The 18084-nt window shown below is 39.7% G+C and overlaps 2 protein-coding genes across 14 annotated transcripts in view, besides 1 other annotated feature; one reads left to right on the top strand and one right to left on the bottom strand.

Annotated features, from left to right (window-relative positions):
• DYDC2 (DPY30 domain containing 2) overlaps positions 1–9352 on the bottom strand; it is a 23329-nt gene extending 13977 nt beyond the window's left edge. For 2 of the 3 annotated variants that reach the window (NR_070309.2, NM_001270042.2), the window contains exon 1: positions 9282–9352. Coding sequence is in view for 1 of the 3 variants with exons in the window: in NM_001270042.2 (NP_001256971.1) it covers positions 9282–9314 (33 nt within the window). In the remaining 2 variants the exon portion in view is untranslated. Of the gene's footprint in view, positions 1–1479; positions 1661–9281 lie in introns of all 3 variants that reach the window. The other variant, NR_070308.2, reaches the window with a different exon arrangement.
• DYDC1 (DPY30 domain containing 1) overlaps positions 1–18084 on the top strand; it is a 20743-nt gene extending 2659 nt beyond the window's left edge. For 4 of the 11 annotated variants that reach the window (NM_001370156.1, NM_001370155.1, XM_011539335.2 and 1 more), the window contains 6 exons: positions 1487–1642; positions 2095–2196; positions 11736–11828; positions 14944–15000; positions 15526–15630; positions 17912–17995. In NM_001370156.1, the coding sequence (NP_001357085.1) occupies positions 1496–1642; positions 2095–2196; positions 11736–11828; positions 14944–15000; positions 15526–15630; positions 17912–17941 (534 nt within the window). In that variant the 5' untranslated portion in view covers positions 1487–1495 and the 3' untranslated portion in view covers positions 17942–17995. Of the gene's footprint in view, positions 1–1486; positions 1643–2094; positions 2197–11735; positions 11829–14943; positions 15001–15525; positions 17996–18057 lie in introns of those variants that run through there. The other 7 variants (XM_005269549.5, XM_005269550.5, XM_011539334.3 and 4 more) reach the window with 4 other exon arrangements.
• Positions 5458–5658: a silencer, noted in NCBI's record as "peak1026 fragment used in MPRA reporter construct". NCBI's record gives its function as "represses an SCP1 promoter by STARR-seq MPRAs in K562 erythroleukemia cells {active_cell/tissue: K562}" and the evidence as "EXISTENCE:reporter gene assay evidence [ECO:0000049][PMID:32103011]".

The following is an 18084-nucleotide window of genomic DNA, read 5'->3' as shown; positions in this document are numbered from 1 at the left end:
TCGCCCAGGCTGGAGTGCAGTGGCACGATCTTGGCTCACTGCAAGCTCCGCCTCCCAGGTTCACCCCATTCTCCTGCCTCAGCCTCCCAAGTAGCTGGGACTACAGGCGCCCGCCACCACGCCCAGCTAATTTGTTTGTATTTTCAGTAGAGACTGGGTTTCACATAGTTTCCAAAAGGGCTCCAAGGAAGTCACTACAACTAACATGGTTTCAAAATCCTGAAGGACTCTCAAGTCCAAGAGTCAGAAAAGAGATATTATCATTATTGATTTCAAGTTTACTTGATGCCAAGTAATGTGGGTCTCATGTAATCCTCACAACATACCTGAAAAATGGGTATCATCATCCCAGTGGGAAGATGAGCAAGCCCAGGCACAGACAGAGTAAGTGCACAGTTCAGGATCACACAGCTGGCAGATGAAGGAGATCCGTTAGCCAGGATGGTCTCGATCTCCTGACCTTGTGATCCGCCCGCCTCGGCCTCCCAAAGTGCTGTGATTACAGGCGTGAGCCACTGTGCCCAGCCGATTTCTTAAAATATTAAGGGTAATCTGAGGGTGATCAATTTTTCCAAAGCATCTGAAAGAGATTGGTTGCTCCATTTTTCCTTTTCTGTTTTAAAAACAATCTGGTCGGCCAGGCGCGGTGGCTCACGCCTGTAATCCCAGCACTTTGGGAGGCCGAGGTGGGCGGATCACGAGGTCAGGAGATCGAGACCATCCTAGCTAACACAGTGAAACCCTGTCTCTACTAAAAATACAAAAAAAATTAGCCAGACATGTCCATGGAATTAGAGCCCAGGGTGTGCTGGGGCCAGGAGAGATGATGTCTGGAGGTGAACTTGAAAAGAAAATTGGGGCCAGATTGTGAGGAGCTTCATATGTTATTATTTGGAGGCTGAGTTTTTATTCTTTGGCCTTGGAAATTTATGGATTTTTTTTTTTCAAAAGGTGGACTATTGTGATGCTTTGTAAAAACGGCTCTCATGGCTTAGGAGGAACATTTTAGTGTAGTCTTTAGGGTTAGGGTTTTGGAATCAAGAGGTGGGTACAAACCCTGTCTCCTTCATCTGCCAGCTGTGTGATCCTGAACTGTGCACTTACGCTGTCTGTGCCTGGGCTTGCTCATCTTCCCACTGGGATGATGATACCCATTTTTCAGGTATGTTGTGAGGATTACATGAGACCCACATTACTTGGCATCAAGTAAACTTGGAATCAATAATGATAATATCTCTTTTCTGACTCTTGGACTTGAGAGTCCTTCAGGATTTTGAAACCATGTTAGTTGTAGTGACTTCCTTGGAGCCCTTTTGGAAACTATTAGAAGTTTCCTGGGGCCAGCTTGCTTGTGACACCCCCAATGGGAGGTGTCCATGACTGAGGGCAGGGTGTATGTAAGGCTTTGTTCACCTCACTGGACTTTAGTTTTATAGTGACTTTATTGAAAATATCCTGCAGTAATGCAAAAACACTTACTTTTTAGGAGTTAGAAATGGAGTCAATATATCTTCAAAAGCACCTTGGGGCCTGTTTAACTCAAGGTCTTGCAGAAGTGGCAAGAGTTCGCCCAGTGGATCCGATAGAATATTTAGCATTGTGGATTTACAAGTATAAGGAAAATGTGACCATGGAACAACTGGTAAGTAGGAATCTCCTTCTAGGAAATTAGAAGAAAAAAAACTGGTCCAACTTGTCTGCTTTTAAAAAAGTTTAACATTATTATTTTTCTGTTATAAAAATAATGTTTATTATACAAAAACTTGAACAACATGAAAAGCAGGAAGGAGAAAACATTACCCAAAGAAGACTTCTATTTAGATTTTTAGGTAATTCCTTTCATGGGAAGTCTTTTTTCTATAGATTTATAGATTTACGTTTATGTACTTGTGATCATACACAATGTATAACTTTAATATTGTGCTCATTATTCAGATAAAATATCTTCCCAAATTATTATATCATTTCCACAGGGATGGGCTATAATTTGCTTAACACTTTCCCTAATTGTTCCTATTAAGTGCTTTCAAGATTGCTTTTACAAATTGCTTTCTCGCTAAGAAGTCGTGTGCTGTTGTTTTTAAACAATGCTAGAGACAAAAGGAAATGGCCAAGCTGGAGCGTGAAAGAGAATTAGCTCTGATGGAGCAGGAAATGATGGAGAGGCTCAAAGCAGAGGAGCTCTTACTTCAGCAGGTGAGGCAAGTAGGAGAGTTCAGAGGGGACTGGAATTAACGATGCCAACCTCAGCATGGCACAGCCTAAATGTTGATAAACTTCCCAGCTCCAGTTATTTAGATATGGCTTCCTAATATCTTCATCTTTATGGATGTGTGTGTCTTCTTTGCTGGAGAAGCAGCAGCCATGAGTTTTCCTGAGTGCATTCTTGTATACACATATACACATTCCTTTCCACACTGTTGTTGCTGATACAAAAGATGCCATACCTCCAGGTAAGAGGAAAATACAGAGTGTGCTGTCACAGAAGGCAAAGGGAAAGACTGTTTTGGTGAGATCTGAGTGGTCAACCATATCTATTGCTGAATGGAAAAGTGTTCATGAGAGGCCACCGTAATTTGGCGGGAACAGTGTGGATGGAGTGGTGGGGGTGGGTGGACTTAGGCAGGGGAGGTGGAAAATGTAGGCAATGCTTTCAAGGAGATTTTGATAGCAAGGAGAGATGTTTTTGTGTTTGTTTTGATTTAAGAGCACAGTAGTGGAGGAGTGAGTGGGTGACATTAGGAAATAGAGTGGATGATTCGTAGGGTCAGCTCACCATGGAGATGAGAGGAAATGGGCCTGGATCATAGGTTGGGCAGGGAGAAGGCACTTCTTTGATTATAATCAAGGGAAAGAGGAGAGAATGGTGTTGGTGGAAGCACCTTCTGCGTACAACTGTTTCTGTCTTCTTTATGAAGTAGGCACCATGTTCACTTGCTAAGAACAAGGTTGTAAGGTAGGAGGTGTGGGCAGAGTGGTGAAGTTAGAAATGACAGCTTTGGAGAATGGAAGAGAGAGTTGAGGGATATAATTTAGCATTACTTGGTAGCAGTTGAAGATCAAGTACTGATAATCGTGCCATTTGATTTGGTTATGTGATGATGTGATTCTCTTCACTTGGGCCCAGATGTCTGAGTGAAGAAGTGGAGCAGGCAGACCTTTTAATTGAAGCAGGATTGGGGTAGCATGATTAGGGAGCTGAAGATATTGGTAAGGGAATTGTTGAAGGGATGGGTCATGGAGTACAAGCTGGAGAGAGGAAAGTTCCAGAATGGCTTCTGGACTGATTTAATTTATAGAGAGCTTCTAAGCTAAATTTAAGCCACTTCCATAGTTCTACCAGATAATACTTAACCCCAGAGTCTTGACTCAAATTTACATATTTAAAAAGGGGAAAGAAGCCTATTATTTGAGTATGTGGATAGAAAGAAAAATATAGACCTGGCAAATAGCTTCTCTGACTAACCTCCTATCCCTGATATTGAGGTAGAAAACTGCAGGCCCCTTAGAAGGATAGGGCTGTTGAAAACTCTACTCCTTCTGAGTCTTCATTTTCAGTCATTGGCTTATTCTTGAAGGGAGGTTAAAAAGTGTTGAGTTGGGTGTCAACTGTCATCCAAACAGGCCAGGTGCTTCCTGCAGCAGCCACAACTGTGGATGAGGAGCCATCCTTCCTCTTACAGCTCCTATAGCTGGTATCTGTTCCTGTCTATCAAAAATAAGAGAATTCCCAGAGGTTCTCCTTCCCCTAGGCAATTACATCGTAAGTGGGAGATACATAACTCTCTTCGGCTCGACTACTTTATCCTACTTATGCATAATTTGGCAATACTAGCAATAACAAGTTTCTCTAGCCATATTATGTTGACCGGTATGAACTAATCCACTGTGCATTGAATCCTAAGTATTGTAGTAGGGCGGAAGAGAAAATAATATTATACAGGAGATGTTATGGCCAGTTAGCGGAGTGGATTGGTGTGCAGAAATAGATAGGAGAGATCGATCAACAGAGAAAGGCTTGAGAGAGTGTGGCTGAGATGAAGAAAAACAGAGAGGCCTCTGGGTGCCTTCTGAGTCATGTAAGCTGGAGGTTGGGAACTCTGGTTATTTCCTTGCTGGTTGCAAAAGCAGTTGTCCTCATAGTCAGTACCACTGACTTGAAATTCCTTGATATTTTAGGCACTCTCCACAAGCCTAGTTTTTTGTGAACAGGGAAGTATTTTTATTGCCATTTTCTATGTAAGAGCTTAGTTTTGAAGTAAGAGCTTTTTTGTTTATTTGTTTTGAATGGCTTTCAGTGGTTTTGCTCATGTGTGAGGAAGGGGATTAGGTTTTGGAAGTTTCTTGAAAATGTCAAGAAGCTGGTTGTTTTGATCAATCTGACTGTTATTTAACAAATACACTTTGCATTATTGTTGAGAGATTGGAGTTATTTAACTTCCTCTACCAATGTCTGAAAGTTGATTGAAACTGTTTCTGCGTTTCAGCTACCTACCCCATCACTTTTATCTTAGTAGTGATAATATAGGAATACTAAGAAATTACCTTTAAAAGCTTTTGCAAATAAAATATCAAGCACTTTATTATATCTTTACTTGTAAAAATTTATTATTTTAGAATGCATTGTCAGATAGTAGACATTTTATGCTTTACAGGCCAAGAGGCAAATTTGATGATATTATGAAGGCATTATGGCATATTATGTAGGAATAACAAGAGAGAAAATGAATTTTTGCAAATGTTTTATTGATGAAATTCAAATAATAATCACTGAATATAAATTTTTTATTAGATAGGTTTACTATTGAGAATTTAAAAAAGTTTTTAAAAGATAACATTTCACTTGGTTGAAGTTCAGCGTTAGTGTGGTCTATCATCAAAATCTATTTTAAAATATTTATCTGCGGGCCGGGCGCGGTGGCTCACGCCTGTAATCCCAGCACTTTGGGAGGCCGAGGCGGGCGGATCACAGGGTCAGGAGATCGAGACCATCCTGGCGAACGCGGTGAAACCCCGTCTCTACTAAAAATACAAAAAATTAGCCGGGCGTGGTGGTGGGCTCCTGTAGTCCCAGCTACTCAGGAGACTGAGGGGGAAGAATGGCGCGAACCCAGGAGGCGGAGCTTGCAGTGAGCCGAGATCGCGCCACTGCAGTCCAGCCTGGGCGACAGAGCGAGACTCCGCCTCAAAAAAAAAAAGTTTATCTGCTAATGCTGATCTGTAATGAGGTTTTATGCATTTCATCCTTGAAAATGTCTTTTTACATAGTTACTGTCAAAAGTTGCTATCAGTCTATGTGTGTATAATTTAAATTAAGCATATTCATTCCTTAGAAGGTATTTCTAGAATTTTGTTTTTCTCTTGCTGTTTGCCTTTTAGCATGCATTACTTTGTAGAATAGCCACTTCCAACTGAAGGTTGATGGAAGCTTCTTAATTGCATAGTTAAATGGATTTCAGAATATGGAAATTTCCTTTGCACTTACGTTGAGGCCTTACAAACACTCTGGAATTGTAGTTCGAGGTTGGAAAATACATCCACTGACAATTTGTTTGGGAACGGAGATCTAATATCCTGTTCTAGTTTTGACAGCACTGGACGTGTATAAAGCAGCTTTACGTTACTTGTGATTCAAACAACATGAGCTGTTGTTGAAGTGAGTTTACTGCAGTGTAAGTTTTACATATGAGTGATGTTTTGCCATGTAATTTTAAAATGAATTAAGAAACATTATCAAGTCTGCAGCCAAAGCTAATTTCCAAAGCCATTTAATGTTTGATAATAGTGGTTGGGAGTATTTCTTCTCATTAAGAAAAATTTAAATCCTGTTTACCAATAACTTACTCGAAAAAGAAACCAAGAAAACAATCTTATTTATAATAGCTTCAAAAAGAATAATATACGTAGGAATAAATGTAACCAAGGAGGTGAAACATCTATACCTTGAAAACTGTAAAACACTAATGCAAAAAATTGAGGAAGACACAAATAAATGGAAAGATATCTTGTGTTCATATATCAGAAGAGTTAGTATTGTTAAAATGTCTATACTACCTAAAGTAATCTGCAGATTCATCTCAATCCCTATCAAAATTCCAATGGCATTCTTCACAGAAACAGAAAAACCCAATTCTAAAATTTGTATGGAAGTACAAAAGACCCTGAATAGCCAAAGCAATCCTAAGAAAGAAAAACGAAGTTGGAACTATCAAATTACTTGATCCAGAATTATATTACAAAGCCATAGTAATTACAACAGTATGGTATTGGCATAAAAACAGACACATAGACCAGTGGAACAGAATAGAGAACCCAGGAATAAGCCCAAGTATATACGGTCAACTAATTTTTGACAAGCCCTGCAAGAAAACACAAAGGGAAAAGGATAGTCTCTTCAATGAACGGTGTTGGGACAACTGGATATCCACATGCAAAAGAATGAAACTGGATCCTTGTCTTCCACCATACACAAAAATCAGTTCAAAATAGATTAAAGACCTAAATGGAAGACCTGAAACTGTAAAACTCCCGGAAGAAAACATAATGTAGAAAAAGCTCCTTGACATTGGTCTTGGCAATAATTTTTTGGGTATGACACCAAAAGCACAGGCAATAAAAGCAAACCTAAACAAATGGGACTAGGTCAAACTAAAATGCTCTTGCACAGCAAACAATCAGCAAAACAAAAAGGCAGCCTATGGATTGGGAGAAGATATTTGTGAACCATATATCTGATAAGGTCTGATAAGGAGTTAATCTCCAAAATATATAAGGAATGCAAACTCAATAGCAAAAAAAAAAAAAAAAAAAAAAAAAAAAAGGATCCCAATTAAAAAATGGGCAAAGGACCTAAATAGACATTTCTCCAAGGAAGATATAAAAGTGGCCAACAGGTATATTATCAAAAGTGACAAGTAATGTTCAACACCGCTAGTCATCAGGGAAGTGCAAATCAAAACCACTATGAGATACCACCTCGCCCCTATTAGGATGGCTGCTTTTTTTTTTTCTTTTTCGGACACAGAGTCTCGCTCTTTCACCCAGGCTGGAGTGAAGTGGCGTGATCTTAGCTCACTCCAACCTCTGCTCCCTGGGTTCAAGCGATTCTCCTGCCTCAGCCTCCTGAGTAGCTGGGATTACAGGCACCCGCCACCACACCTGGCTAATTTTTTTTTTGTATTTTTAGTAGAGACGGGGTTTCGCCATGTTGGCCAGGCTGGTCTTGAACTCCTGACCTCAGGTGATCCACCCACCTCGGCCTCCCAAAGTGTTAGGATTACAGGCATGAGCCACCGTGACCAGCCTAAGATGGCTGTTATCAGAAAGGGAAGAGACATGGCCGGGGGCAGTGGCTCACACCTGTAATCCCAGCACTTCGGGAGGCTGAGGCGGGCAGATCACAAAGTCAGGAGATTGAGACCATCCTAGCTAACATGGTGAAACCCCGTCTCTACTAAAAATACAAAAAATTAGCCGGGCGTGGTGGCGGGCGCCTGTAGTCCCAGCTACTCAGGAGGCTGAGACAGGAGAATGGTGTGAACCCAGGAGGTAGAGCTTGCAGTGAGCTGAGATCGCGCCACTGCACTCCAGCCTGGGTGACAGAGTGAGACTCCGTCTCAAAAAAGAAAAAAAAAAAAAAAAAAAAAAAAAAAGAAAGGGAAGAGACACACATTGGTGAGGGTGTGGAGAAAAGTGAACTCTTCTACACTGTTGATGGGAATACAAATTGGCGCAGCCATTATGCAAAATGGTATGGGTGTATTTCAAAAAATTAAAAGCTACCATATGACCCAGTAATTCCTCTTCTCAGTATATATTCAAAGGAAATGAAACCAGCACCTTATAGAGACTACTTGCACTCCCATGTCCATTGCAGCATTATTTACAATAGCCAAGATTTGGAAACAACATAAATGTCTGTCAGTGGATGACTGGATAAAGAAATTGTGAGCTGATCACAGTGGCTCACACCTGTAATCCCAGTACTTTGGGAGGCCGAGGCCTGAGGATCACTTGAGGTCCAGAGTTCGAGACCAGCTTGGGCAACATAGGGAGACCTCATCTCTAGAAAAAATGTATAAATTATCCAGGCATGATGATGATGGCATGCACCTGTGGTCCCAGCTACTCAGGAAGCTGAGGTGGGAGGATTAATTGAGCCCTGGAGGTTGAGGCAGTGCCACTGCACTCCCACCTGGGTGACAGAGCAAGACCCTGTCTTGAAAAAACGTAAGATGTATTTCTCATGTATATCTTGTATATATATATCTCACATATATGTATCACATATATGTATATATAAAAGAATATTATTCAGCTTTAAGAAAGAAGTAGGTCCTGCCATTTGTGATGACATGGATGAAACTGAAGGACATGATGTTAAGTGAAATAAACCAGACATCAAAAGAAAAATACCACATGCTGTCTATGTAGAAATCTTAAAAAAAAAATGTTGAATACATAAAAAGAGAGAATAGAACAGTGGTTACCAAGAGGTGGAGTGGGGGTAGGCCTGGAAGAAGAATGAGGAGATGTAGGTCAAAATGTACAAAATTGCAATTGTGTAGTATGAATAAATGTAGAGATCTAAAGTACAGCATGAGGATGATAGCCAATAAGATTGTATTGTGTACTGGAAAATTTTTAAGAGAGTAGATTTTAGGTGCTCTTACCATACAAAAGTAACTGTCTAAGATGATGGATATTGAAATTGCTTACCTGTGGTAAGCATTCACTATATATATCAAAACATTATATGCATCTTCAATTTACACAATAAAAAGTTAAATCTTGACCCTGAGCTCAAAAATTCATAATATAACTGTTAAGCCATGGAACTGCTGTGTGGTAGGACATCAGGATATATTCAGCTTCTGTTTCTGACAAAAATTCACAGAATTGATGGTCCAGTTTACAAGAGTGAATGAAGGTCACTGTTGACACTGCTGGATCAATAACACATAATAGATTCAAATACTTTCACAGAGTAGCTGCTGTTGAGTAATATGATGAACACTTCCCGGCTTTAAACACTATTTTCTCATGAGCTTTGTAAATTTGTTCAGCTCAGCCTTTTTCTATTCCACATGTATTTTTATCACTGTCAGCTATGACACATCTTAGCAGATTTCACTGCAGGTTGTATTGAATCAGTGTTTCTACACGACTTTGAAAATGCTCTTGTCTGTAATTGTTCCATGAAGACTGTATTAGTCCATTTTCAAGCAGCTGATAAAGACATACCCAACACTGGGAAGAAAAAGAGGTTTAATTGGACTTACAGTTCCACATTGCTGGGGAGGTCTCAGAATCATGGTGGGAGGCGAAAGGCACTTCTTACATGGTGGCAGCAAGAGAAAATGAGGAAGAAGCAAAAGTGGAAACCCCTGATAAACCCATCAGATCTCGTGAGACTTATTCACTATCGTGAGAATAGCACAGGGAAGACCAGCTCCCATGATTCAGTTAACTCCTTCTGGGTCCCTCCCACAACACTTGGGAATTCTGGGAGATACAATTCAAGTTGAGAATTGAATGGGGACATAGCCAAACCATATCAAAGACTATTCATAGAGGTTTGGTTTTTCAGTCACTTCAAACTCAGCATTGACCCTTTCCATAAACAACAACTGAGCAGTGTTGGGAACATCTGTCTGCTTATCAGGAGCCAAGGAAAGCCACTCAGAATCATGTGCCTTGTTATTAGTTGACTACTGATGTTGCTCCCAGTGTCAACTCTGAGCAGCTGCTCTCACCAAAAGGCTAAAATCTTAGACAAGTTTGTTTTTTCCTGGACACATTTTTTTTGGCCACTGAAATAAAACATGTTTTAATTCACTCATCATTGGTAAATATCTTTCCTTGCTTTCATAACAAATGAGCCTCTTGGAACCCTACTTTTGTTGCAGACTTATTTTCATTTTTAATTTTTGTAAATAAATTCTGCTGTGATAATTCTGTTTTTGTTATTTTTATTTTTTTAAGACAGAGTCTCGCTCTGTCACCCAGGCTGGAGTGCAGTGGTGCGATCTCAGCTCACTGCAACCTCTACCTCCCAGATTCAAGCAATTCTCTTGCCTCAGCCTCCCAAGTGGCTGAGACTACAGGCACCTGCTACCACGCGTAATTTTTTTTGGTATTTTTAGTAGAGACAGGGTTTCACCATGTTGGCCAGGCTGGTCTTGAACTCCTGTCCTCAGGCCTTCCAAGTGCTGGTATTACAGGTGTGAGCCACCATGCCCAGCCAATTCTGTTTTACATTTTCTAATTTTTTTTGGCCTTTGTGCTCTGTGAGCTGGGACTATTGTGATGAGTGCTTAGTCTGGTAATGTTGATATTTATTATATTCTTTTGGTACAGTGGCACTGTATAGCAAGAAACATGTTTTGCCATTTAATTTGATGACAAAATAATACACACTCTAGTGTGCCTTAAAAGTGCGACATTCAAAATTCACTATTTTTCTTTTTTTTTTCTCAAAATTTTGTTTAGAGATGGGGGTCTCGCTATGCTGCCCAGGCTGGTCTTGAACTCCTGGCTTCAAGTAATCCTCCTGCCTCGCTCCTGAGTAGCTGGGATTACAGGAATAAGCCACCCATCCCTGGCTTTCTTGTTTTGACATAATGGATATAATTTTTTTAAATGTCACAGTATAGTGATACCATGGCACTCCAAACACTGCTGTTACAATGATGTTACTGCGGTTTGTAGTGTGCTGGGCAGCCAGGCAAAGTGGTGAGTGCACCACATGTGGTCTCTGTTATAACTACTACACTCTGCTATGGCAGCACAAAAGCGCTCGTAGACAATACGTAAACAAATTAGCATGGCTGTGTTTCAATAAAGCTTTAAGGATGCTGAAATTTACATTTCATACCGTTTTCCTATGTCATGAAATATTATTTCTTTTAAATTTTTTCTATTTAAAAATGTAAAAGCCATTCTTTCTTTGTAAGCTATAAAAAACAGGAGGTGGGTTGGCTTTGGCCCACAGGCTTTATTGCTGAACCCTATTCTAGTGTGACAGATATGCTGAGTTGGGAGCAAATATATTGTTGGTTAGTAATGATTTCAGATGATATTCTTTTTTCTTCTTTTCTTTTTTTTTTTTTTTTTTGAGAGGGAGTCTTACTCTGTTGCCTAGGCTGGAATGCAATGGCACAATCTCGGCTCACTGCAACCTCCACCTCCCAGGTTCAAGCGATTCTCCTGCCTCAGCCTCCCGAGTAGCTGAGATTACAGGCATGTGCCACCCTGCCCAGCTAATTTTTGTATTTTTAGTAGAGACAGGGTTTCACCATGTTGGCCAGTCTGGTCTCAAACTCCTGACCTCAGATGATCTGCCTACCTTGGCTTCTCAAAGTGCTGGGATTACAGGCATGAGCCATCAGATGATATTCTGAAGAGTTTCTCACCCACTCTTCCACAACCAGTGTGTGGCTATTTGAAGACCCATCTATGCTTAAAGAAATTTATCTGGAAAATTGTTGCAATCTCATTTGTTACTTTAAGAAGAAAAGGGAAAATAATTTTGTACAAATTGTGCTTTCTATAATTTGCAATTAAGGAAGATTAAAATCTTTTTTAAAAATTTTATGCTTCAGGAAGCATTTGTAGAAACTAAAGTATTAGTTGGATGTGACCATGTATTGTAAGTTTCTGAAATGAAGGTGGGTATAAACTTAATTATCTTGCAATTAATCTAACTGTAATATGACATATTTCTGAATATTCAGCAACAGCTGGCATTGCAGCTAGAGTTGGAAATGCAAGAAAAGGAGAGGCAGAGAATACAAGAACTACAGAGAGCTCAAGAACAATTAGGCAAGGTAATTTGAAGTTTTATAAATGTCAGTTTTATTTAAAACTCTCTAGAATCTTCAAACTGTTTATTTCAGCTGTTAGCAGAAGGACCATGGGATTTGTAGTCTGAAGACATGCCACATACTAGCTGTGTAAGCTAAACAAGTCTCATAACCTTTTTCAGTCTCAGTTTACCTGTTTCAAAACTAGAGCTAGCAGTATAATACTATTAGCAATGTCTCACTGGTTCCTTTTTTTTTTTTTTTTTTTGAGACGGAGTCTCATTCTTGTTGCCCAGGCTGAAGTGCAATGGCACAATCTCGGTTCACTGCAACCTCGGCCTCCCAGGTTCAAGTGATTCTCCTGCCTCAGCCTCCCGAGTAGCTGGAATTACAGGCACGCACCACCACGCCCGGCTGATTTTGTATTTTTGGTAGAGACAGGGTTTCTCCATGTTGGTCAGGTTGGTCTCGAACTCCTGACCTCAGGTGATCCACCCACCTTGGCCTCCCAAAGTGCTGGGATTACAGGCATGAGCCAGCGCCCCTGGCCGTCTCACTGGATTCTTATACAATCAAATACAATCATGTTTGTGAAACTTCTCTGTGAGCAGTAGGGTTCTCTAATAGTGATACCCTCAACATTTTAGTCAGGAGTTAGCTGTTCCTAGTTACAGTAGCTGATGTTGAATATTGAGGGTATTCCAATCTCGGAGGCAGTAGTATATGTCTTTATGTTAATGTATTAACAACAAGAATTTACATTTTAAAATATGTTCATACATGGACTTTCATTAAAATAAACTATGCAGTAACTTTTTTCTTTCTTTCTTTTTTTTTTTTTTTTTTTTTTGAGACAGAGTCTCACTCTGTCACCCAGGCTGGAGTGCAGTGGCGTGATCTCGGCTCACTGCAACCTCCACCTCCCGGGTTCAAGCAATTCTCGAGCCTCAGCCTCCCGAGTAGCTGGGATTACAGGCACGCACAACCATGCTTGGCTAATTTTTTGTATTTTTAGTAGAGATGGGGTTTTGCCATGTTGTCCAAGCTGACATGATACAATCATGTCAGGTCTCTAGTTTGACCCATATTTCCTGCATCCAAAAGCTATGAGTCATATAGACCAATATTCTAGATGACTGAGTTTATAGCTACTATCTCTTAATCAAATGTTTCTCCCCCTTTTTATTCCATAATTAAAGCTGAAAAAAGAAGCAGGTTTTATAGACAATGTTCATTATGTTTATTGATGCTTAGATGAGAGAATCATTTATTAAAGCAATATTTAAAAAGTGTGAATGGTGAATTAAATCAAAAAGTGAGATTTTTTTTAAAAGGATAAAAGCCCTATACATAGTTTTAAAAAATACAGATGCTGATGCGGTCTTAGTCTGAGTGTAGTGTGAGCACAGGGATATGCCTGTATGCACACATACACAAGCAGCCCCTTTCTCTTTAAGATTCACAAAGAAATAATGTTTAAGGTGATGGATATCTCAAATATCCTGATTTGATCATTACATATTGTATGCTTGTATCAAAATATCACATGTACATCGTAAATATGTACAGCTATTTATATCAGTAAAAATTAAAAATTAAAGAAATTTTGAAAAAGATTCACGGATCTAAACTGAAAGAGAAAATACAGGAACATATCAAGAAGGCAGTGATCAAAATAAAGGAATTTAAAGTATTTTTAATCAAAGTGACCTGATAGCTACATTAAAGTGCTTCAAAGTCCATAGGAAGGATTGGTCTCTATTTTATGGCTCCAGAGAGCCACACTCATGTTATTTTACTATCTCCAGACATCATCAGCTTGTGTGACCACTGCCAGAATAACTTTAGTAATTCCTATTTCTATAGGCTTATCATCCCTCACCATAGCATAGGTAGTCCCCTGCAAAGTACCACTCCCTCGCCCATTGCTCAGAGATGAGTCCACTCATGTGCTTTCCCTTGGCCTTCTTATGGCTGCAGACTCGCAATGTAAACTATCATGTGCAAAGGGAAGTTTGCTAGAAGGATTCTGGGTTGAAGGAAGGGTTTAACACATAAACTGTGAAGGACTCTGGTATCACTGGGCCTTTCAGACTTTGGGAGCAAGAGAATCAGATGCTACCAGGGCTCTCCCCTCTGCTGCTCCCTGGTTATTAGTTTCGCTCTTTCACTATGGGCTGCTTTGCTGCACATGGGTAGGGAACATGGGCCTTAACGGCTTCTGAGGCTTAGAATGTTGTGGCTTCTACCATCTAAGAGGAATGGATGCCTTGTTTTAGTTTCAGTTAAGAAAAGAATCTTGGAGAAGGATTCTGACTGGCTTAGTTTGTGTCAAATATCCATCTCTGTGGCAGGGGAGCATAGTCCTATAAGAATATGGATGTTCCCCATATAGCCTTGTGGATGCTGGATAAGAAGTTACCAGGAAAATGGAGTGGTCTTGGGAAAACAGTGCTGTTTATGTCCCTATCATTAGGGTGACCATATGTATGATCAAGAAATCACTGGTCTTCTAGCAGCCAAAACGAATCAGCTCAGGGTCAGTTAGGCCACCCTGCTGCTTTAGAATGAAAAGGTAGATGGCATAGCAAGGTTTGGCTGACTAGAAGAATGTTTCACATTCAGAAAGAGGCCTCCCTTATTGGGCAGTATATTCCTACTGCAGTGCTCAGAGTATTAAAGAGGGCATTGCTCAGGTCCTGTGGGAGGACTTGTGCATTGGGCCAGATTAGTTCCTGTAGAAGTGTTTACTTCTTTCTCGGTATGTGCAAAACTCTACTTAAGTGTGGTTTTCTCCTTAAAAATCTCTTGTTCTAAGGTTCTATTATAATTTTTATTTTGTCACTTTTTATATTGGCAGATAATTTGGCTTCAGTTTGACTGTTTCAGTCCATTTCATTTTTAAAAAACTTTTATTTAATTATATATAAAACATGGTTGCCTTCTATTAGTATAGAGTATTAAATAAGACTGTGATCTGCAGTTTTGTAATGTGTAATCAGATCATTCTCTTTCAGAGTGACAGCATTTTTGCTTTAAATTCATCATAGCATTGTGTAAAAGTAAAAATGCCAAAAATTAAACATGAAATCAAAATGGAGTATATTCAAAGTATTTTCTTAATTTTTATATATTATAGGAGATGAGAATGAATATGGAAAATCTAGTTAGGAATGAAGATATTCTACATTCAGAGGTGAGAAGAAAAAGTCATTCTATGTTATGTGAAATGAATTGAGTATCCTAGAATGTAAAGCTTAATTTTGATGCATAAGTAGCTAAATTTTTAGCAAGTATATTATCAAAACTGATAGTCCATGTATATTTTCCGGTGATAACAAGTCACAAATAATGTGCTTTGAAGCAAAATCTCACAATAGGTAAAAATTGGACATTCAGTTTGTGTTTGGATTTTTAAAAACTAGGCTCTCTTGAGATATTGAAGCTATTTACCACATAATTACTTACAATTATTTTAAATTTCTGCAGGTATTTTTAAAAAAAGTTCTAGTATTTATTACCAGAATTGTAGCTTTGCATTCTAGGATACTCAATTCATTACCAGAATTCTCTTGTCATTAACAGAAATTGGTTAATTCCACTAATTAATAATGTTGAATTTTAATGTTATAAATCAGAAAATTTTTAATCAAAATTGAAAGAAAAGTAATGTATTAATTTTGAAATCATTTAAAAGTAAAAATCAATTTTTTGATTGTAGGAAGCAACACTAGACTCAGGCAAAACACTAGCTGAAATCAGCGATCGTTATGGAGCACCTAACTTGAGCAGAGTGGAAGAACTTGATGAACCAATGTTTTCTGATGTCAGTATCAGTGTGTTTTGTGAAAAAACTCGTTTTTGTTTTTGTTTTTGATTTTTTTTACTTAGGTAAAGCCTAGGGAAAATGAGGCTAGGCCAGGATTGGTTGGCAAATAGGCCTTTTGCTTCAGAGAAAGAAAATCAGTTCCCTGGTTGCGGATTATATTCCTAATTGGCATTCTGCCCTTTTGTGAAGTGTGTCACTGGCTTATCTATATCTCCGTATCTGTGACTTCAAAACCTCTTCAAAATATGTTTTAAAATCATTTTGTGAAATATATAATCTTTAAATTTGGTGTGGGGGGCACGATTTTTGTTCTCAGTAGCAAACCCTGGAACCAAATTAATGCCTTAATGAGAATGCATGCTTCTCCAGTATGTAAGTACATTTGTTTATTTAAGAAACATGCCACATCTTCCATATGCCAGGCACTGTGCCTGATGCTGTGGTGAATAAGGCAGATGGCTTTGACCTTATGGAGTTTATTGTCAGGGGAGAAACAGACAATTAGATGAACATTTAATAGTCATGGTTAGTGGGACCACATAATTTATTGTCCAAACCAGTATGCTTTTGAGAATGAGAGCCGGATCAGCAGATGTAAGCCAGGACTGTCCTGGAAGAAGGGTACATTTTGGTCACTTTAATTGGTGTACACGGACAAGGGGGGACAGCCAGCACAGTTGAGGAACCTCAGTCAGGGAAGGAAGCTAATGATTTGCTACTCACTGGTGGCATGGGAGGCTGAGGATAGTGCTCCAGGCAGAGAGCATGGAAGGTGTGAAGACCCAGATAGGAGAGCGTGTAGAGGGAGTGAGGCAGGGAGGGGTGAGAGCTGAGGCCAGGGAGAAAGCAGGGGCCAGACCATGAAAGCACTTGTCATTTCTGTTCAGAGGCTTAGATTTTATCCTGAAGGCAGTGGAGACTCATATGATGAGAGCTACATTTTGCAAAGACCATCTGGTAACAGTGTGGGGAAGAAAATGGAGAAGTAGGTGTCAGGAGATGGCTTAGGAGGTAGTAATCTAGGGGACAAGATGTCGATGGCCTGAAGTAAATGTTGTTTTCAAGAGCTGTTCAGAAAATGGAGCTGCACAGACTCAGTGCTAATTGTTTAAAGTTTTATTAAAGGTCAGCTATGATTTGGCACTATGCAGGGAGCTAGAAAATGCCAATGAACAAAATGGATTGGGCTTCTGCCCTTGGGGGCCGTGGGCCAATGGGGAAGCTTCTTTGAGGGACAGAGTAGGGAGAGACCTGACCTGGGCTGGACAAGTCTTCCTCAGGAGGTGAAGTTCAAGGAATTAGCCTGAGATGAGCCCAGAGGAAAGAGACAGCAAAATGCTTTCAAGGGACTGAAGTCATCCAGTATTAATGGCTAACGTCCATGGAGCTAGGAAAATGGTGTGATTTTAAGCTGGAGAGGTGGATAAAGGCAGAGCACACTGGGTCTTGTATGTTGCCTTAGGGATTTTGGACTTAAGTGCAGTAGGAGTTATTGAAAGGACTTAAAGATTCAATCTGTGTTTTTATAAGGTGGAGAGAGGATTGGTGTGGAGCAGGAGTGGAAAAAGGGAGACCACTTAGGAAGTTATTGCACTGATCCAGATGTAAGATGACTAGGGTTAGACAGCAGAGATGGAGGGAACTGAGTGGATTTAAGATTGGCTTACAGGATCAGTGCGGGGCAGGGTCAGGATGAAGCCTAAATGTCTTCCTTGGGCTACTGAGTTAAGAGTGTTAACATTTGATGAGTTGATGAACATAAGAGGAAGCAGGTTTTTAAAAAATGATGGCTTCAGTTGCAGAGATGTTGACTCTCAGGTGGCTCTGAGATATGCAGGTGAAAACAGCCAAGAACAGTTGATGTTAGGAAGGGGCCCAGGCCGGAGATATAAATTCAGCAGTCATGGGCATATGTGCTGAATGAAGCAAGGGGATTGAGTAAGGTACCTAGGAGAGAGTGCAGTGTGTGAAGGCCTGGGGGCTCAGGGAGGAACCATTAGCAATTCTAACATTGAAGGGATGGCCACAGGAAGAGGAGCCTACAAGAAGGATGAGAATGCATAGTAAGAGAAGTAGAAGAAAGGATGGAACAATAACTACTTTGAGAACATAATTTATGGTTATATTCAATTTGAGTATCATTTGAAATCATCTGAAACTCCCAAAAAGTTTCATTCATGTAGTCACATAGAAGTTACCTAAAGTTTATTTCTTTGGCTTGTGCCTTTTCACAGTTCTAATTGTATTAAGGAATATTTACTTTTTGTTTTGCTTTTAGATTGCATTAAACATTGATCAAGATTTGTAGGACCAACCAACCTAAGAGCAATAAATGTTTTTGTTTGTTTCAAATTTCAAACCATGAGGTTCCCAATTTGTATTTTTTTCCTTCAAACTTGAACTCCCCTTTTTTTTTCCTCTAAGGACTGCTTATGAATGGGCTTCAAGAGT

The sequence above is a fragment of the Homo sapiens genome, chromosome 10 (genome assembly GCF_000001405.40).
Source record: "Homo sapiens chromosome 10, GRCh38.p14 Primary Assembly".
Classification (NCBI taxonomy): Eukaryota; Metazoa; Chordata; class Mammalia; order Primates; family Hominidae; genus Homo; species Homo sapiens.
The sequence above is the reverse complement of the archived record's forward strand: the minus strand, read 5'-3'. Positions and strand labels throughout refer to the sequence as shown.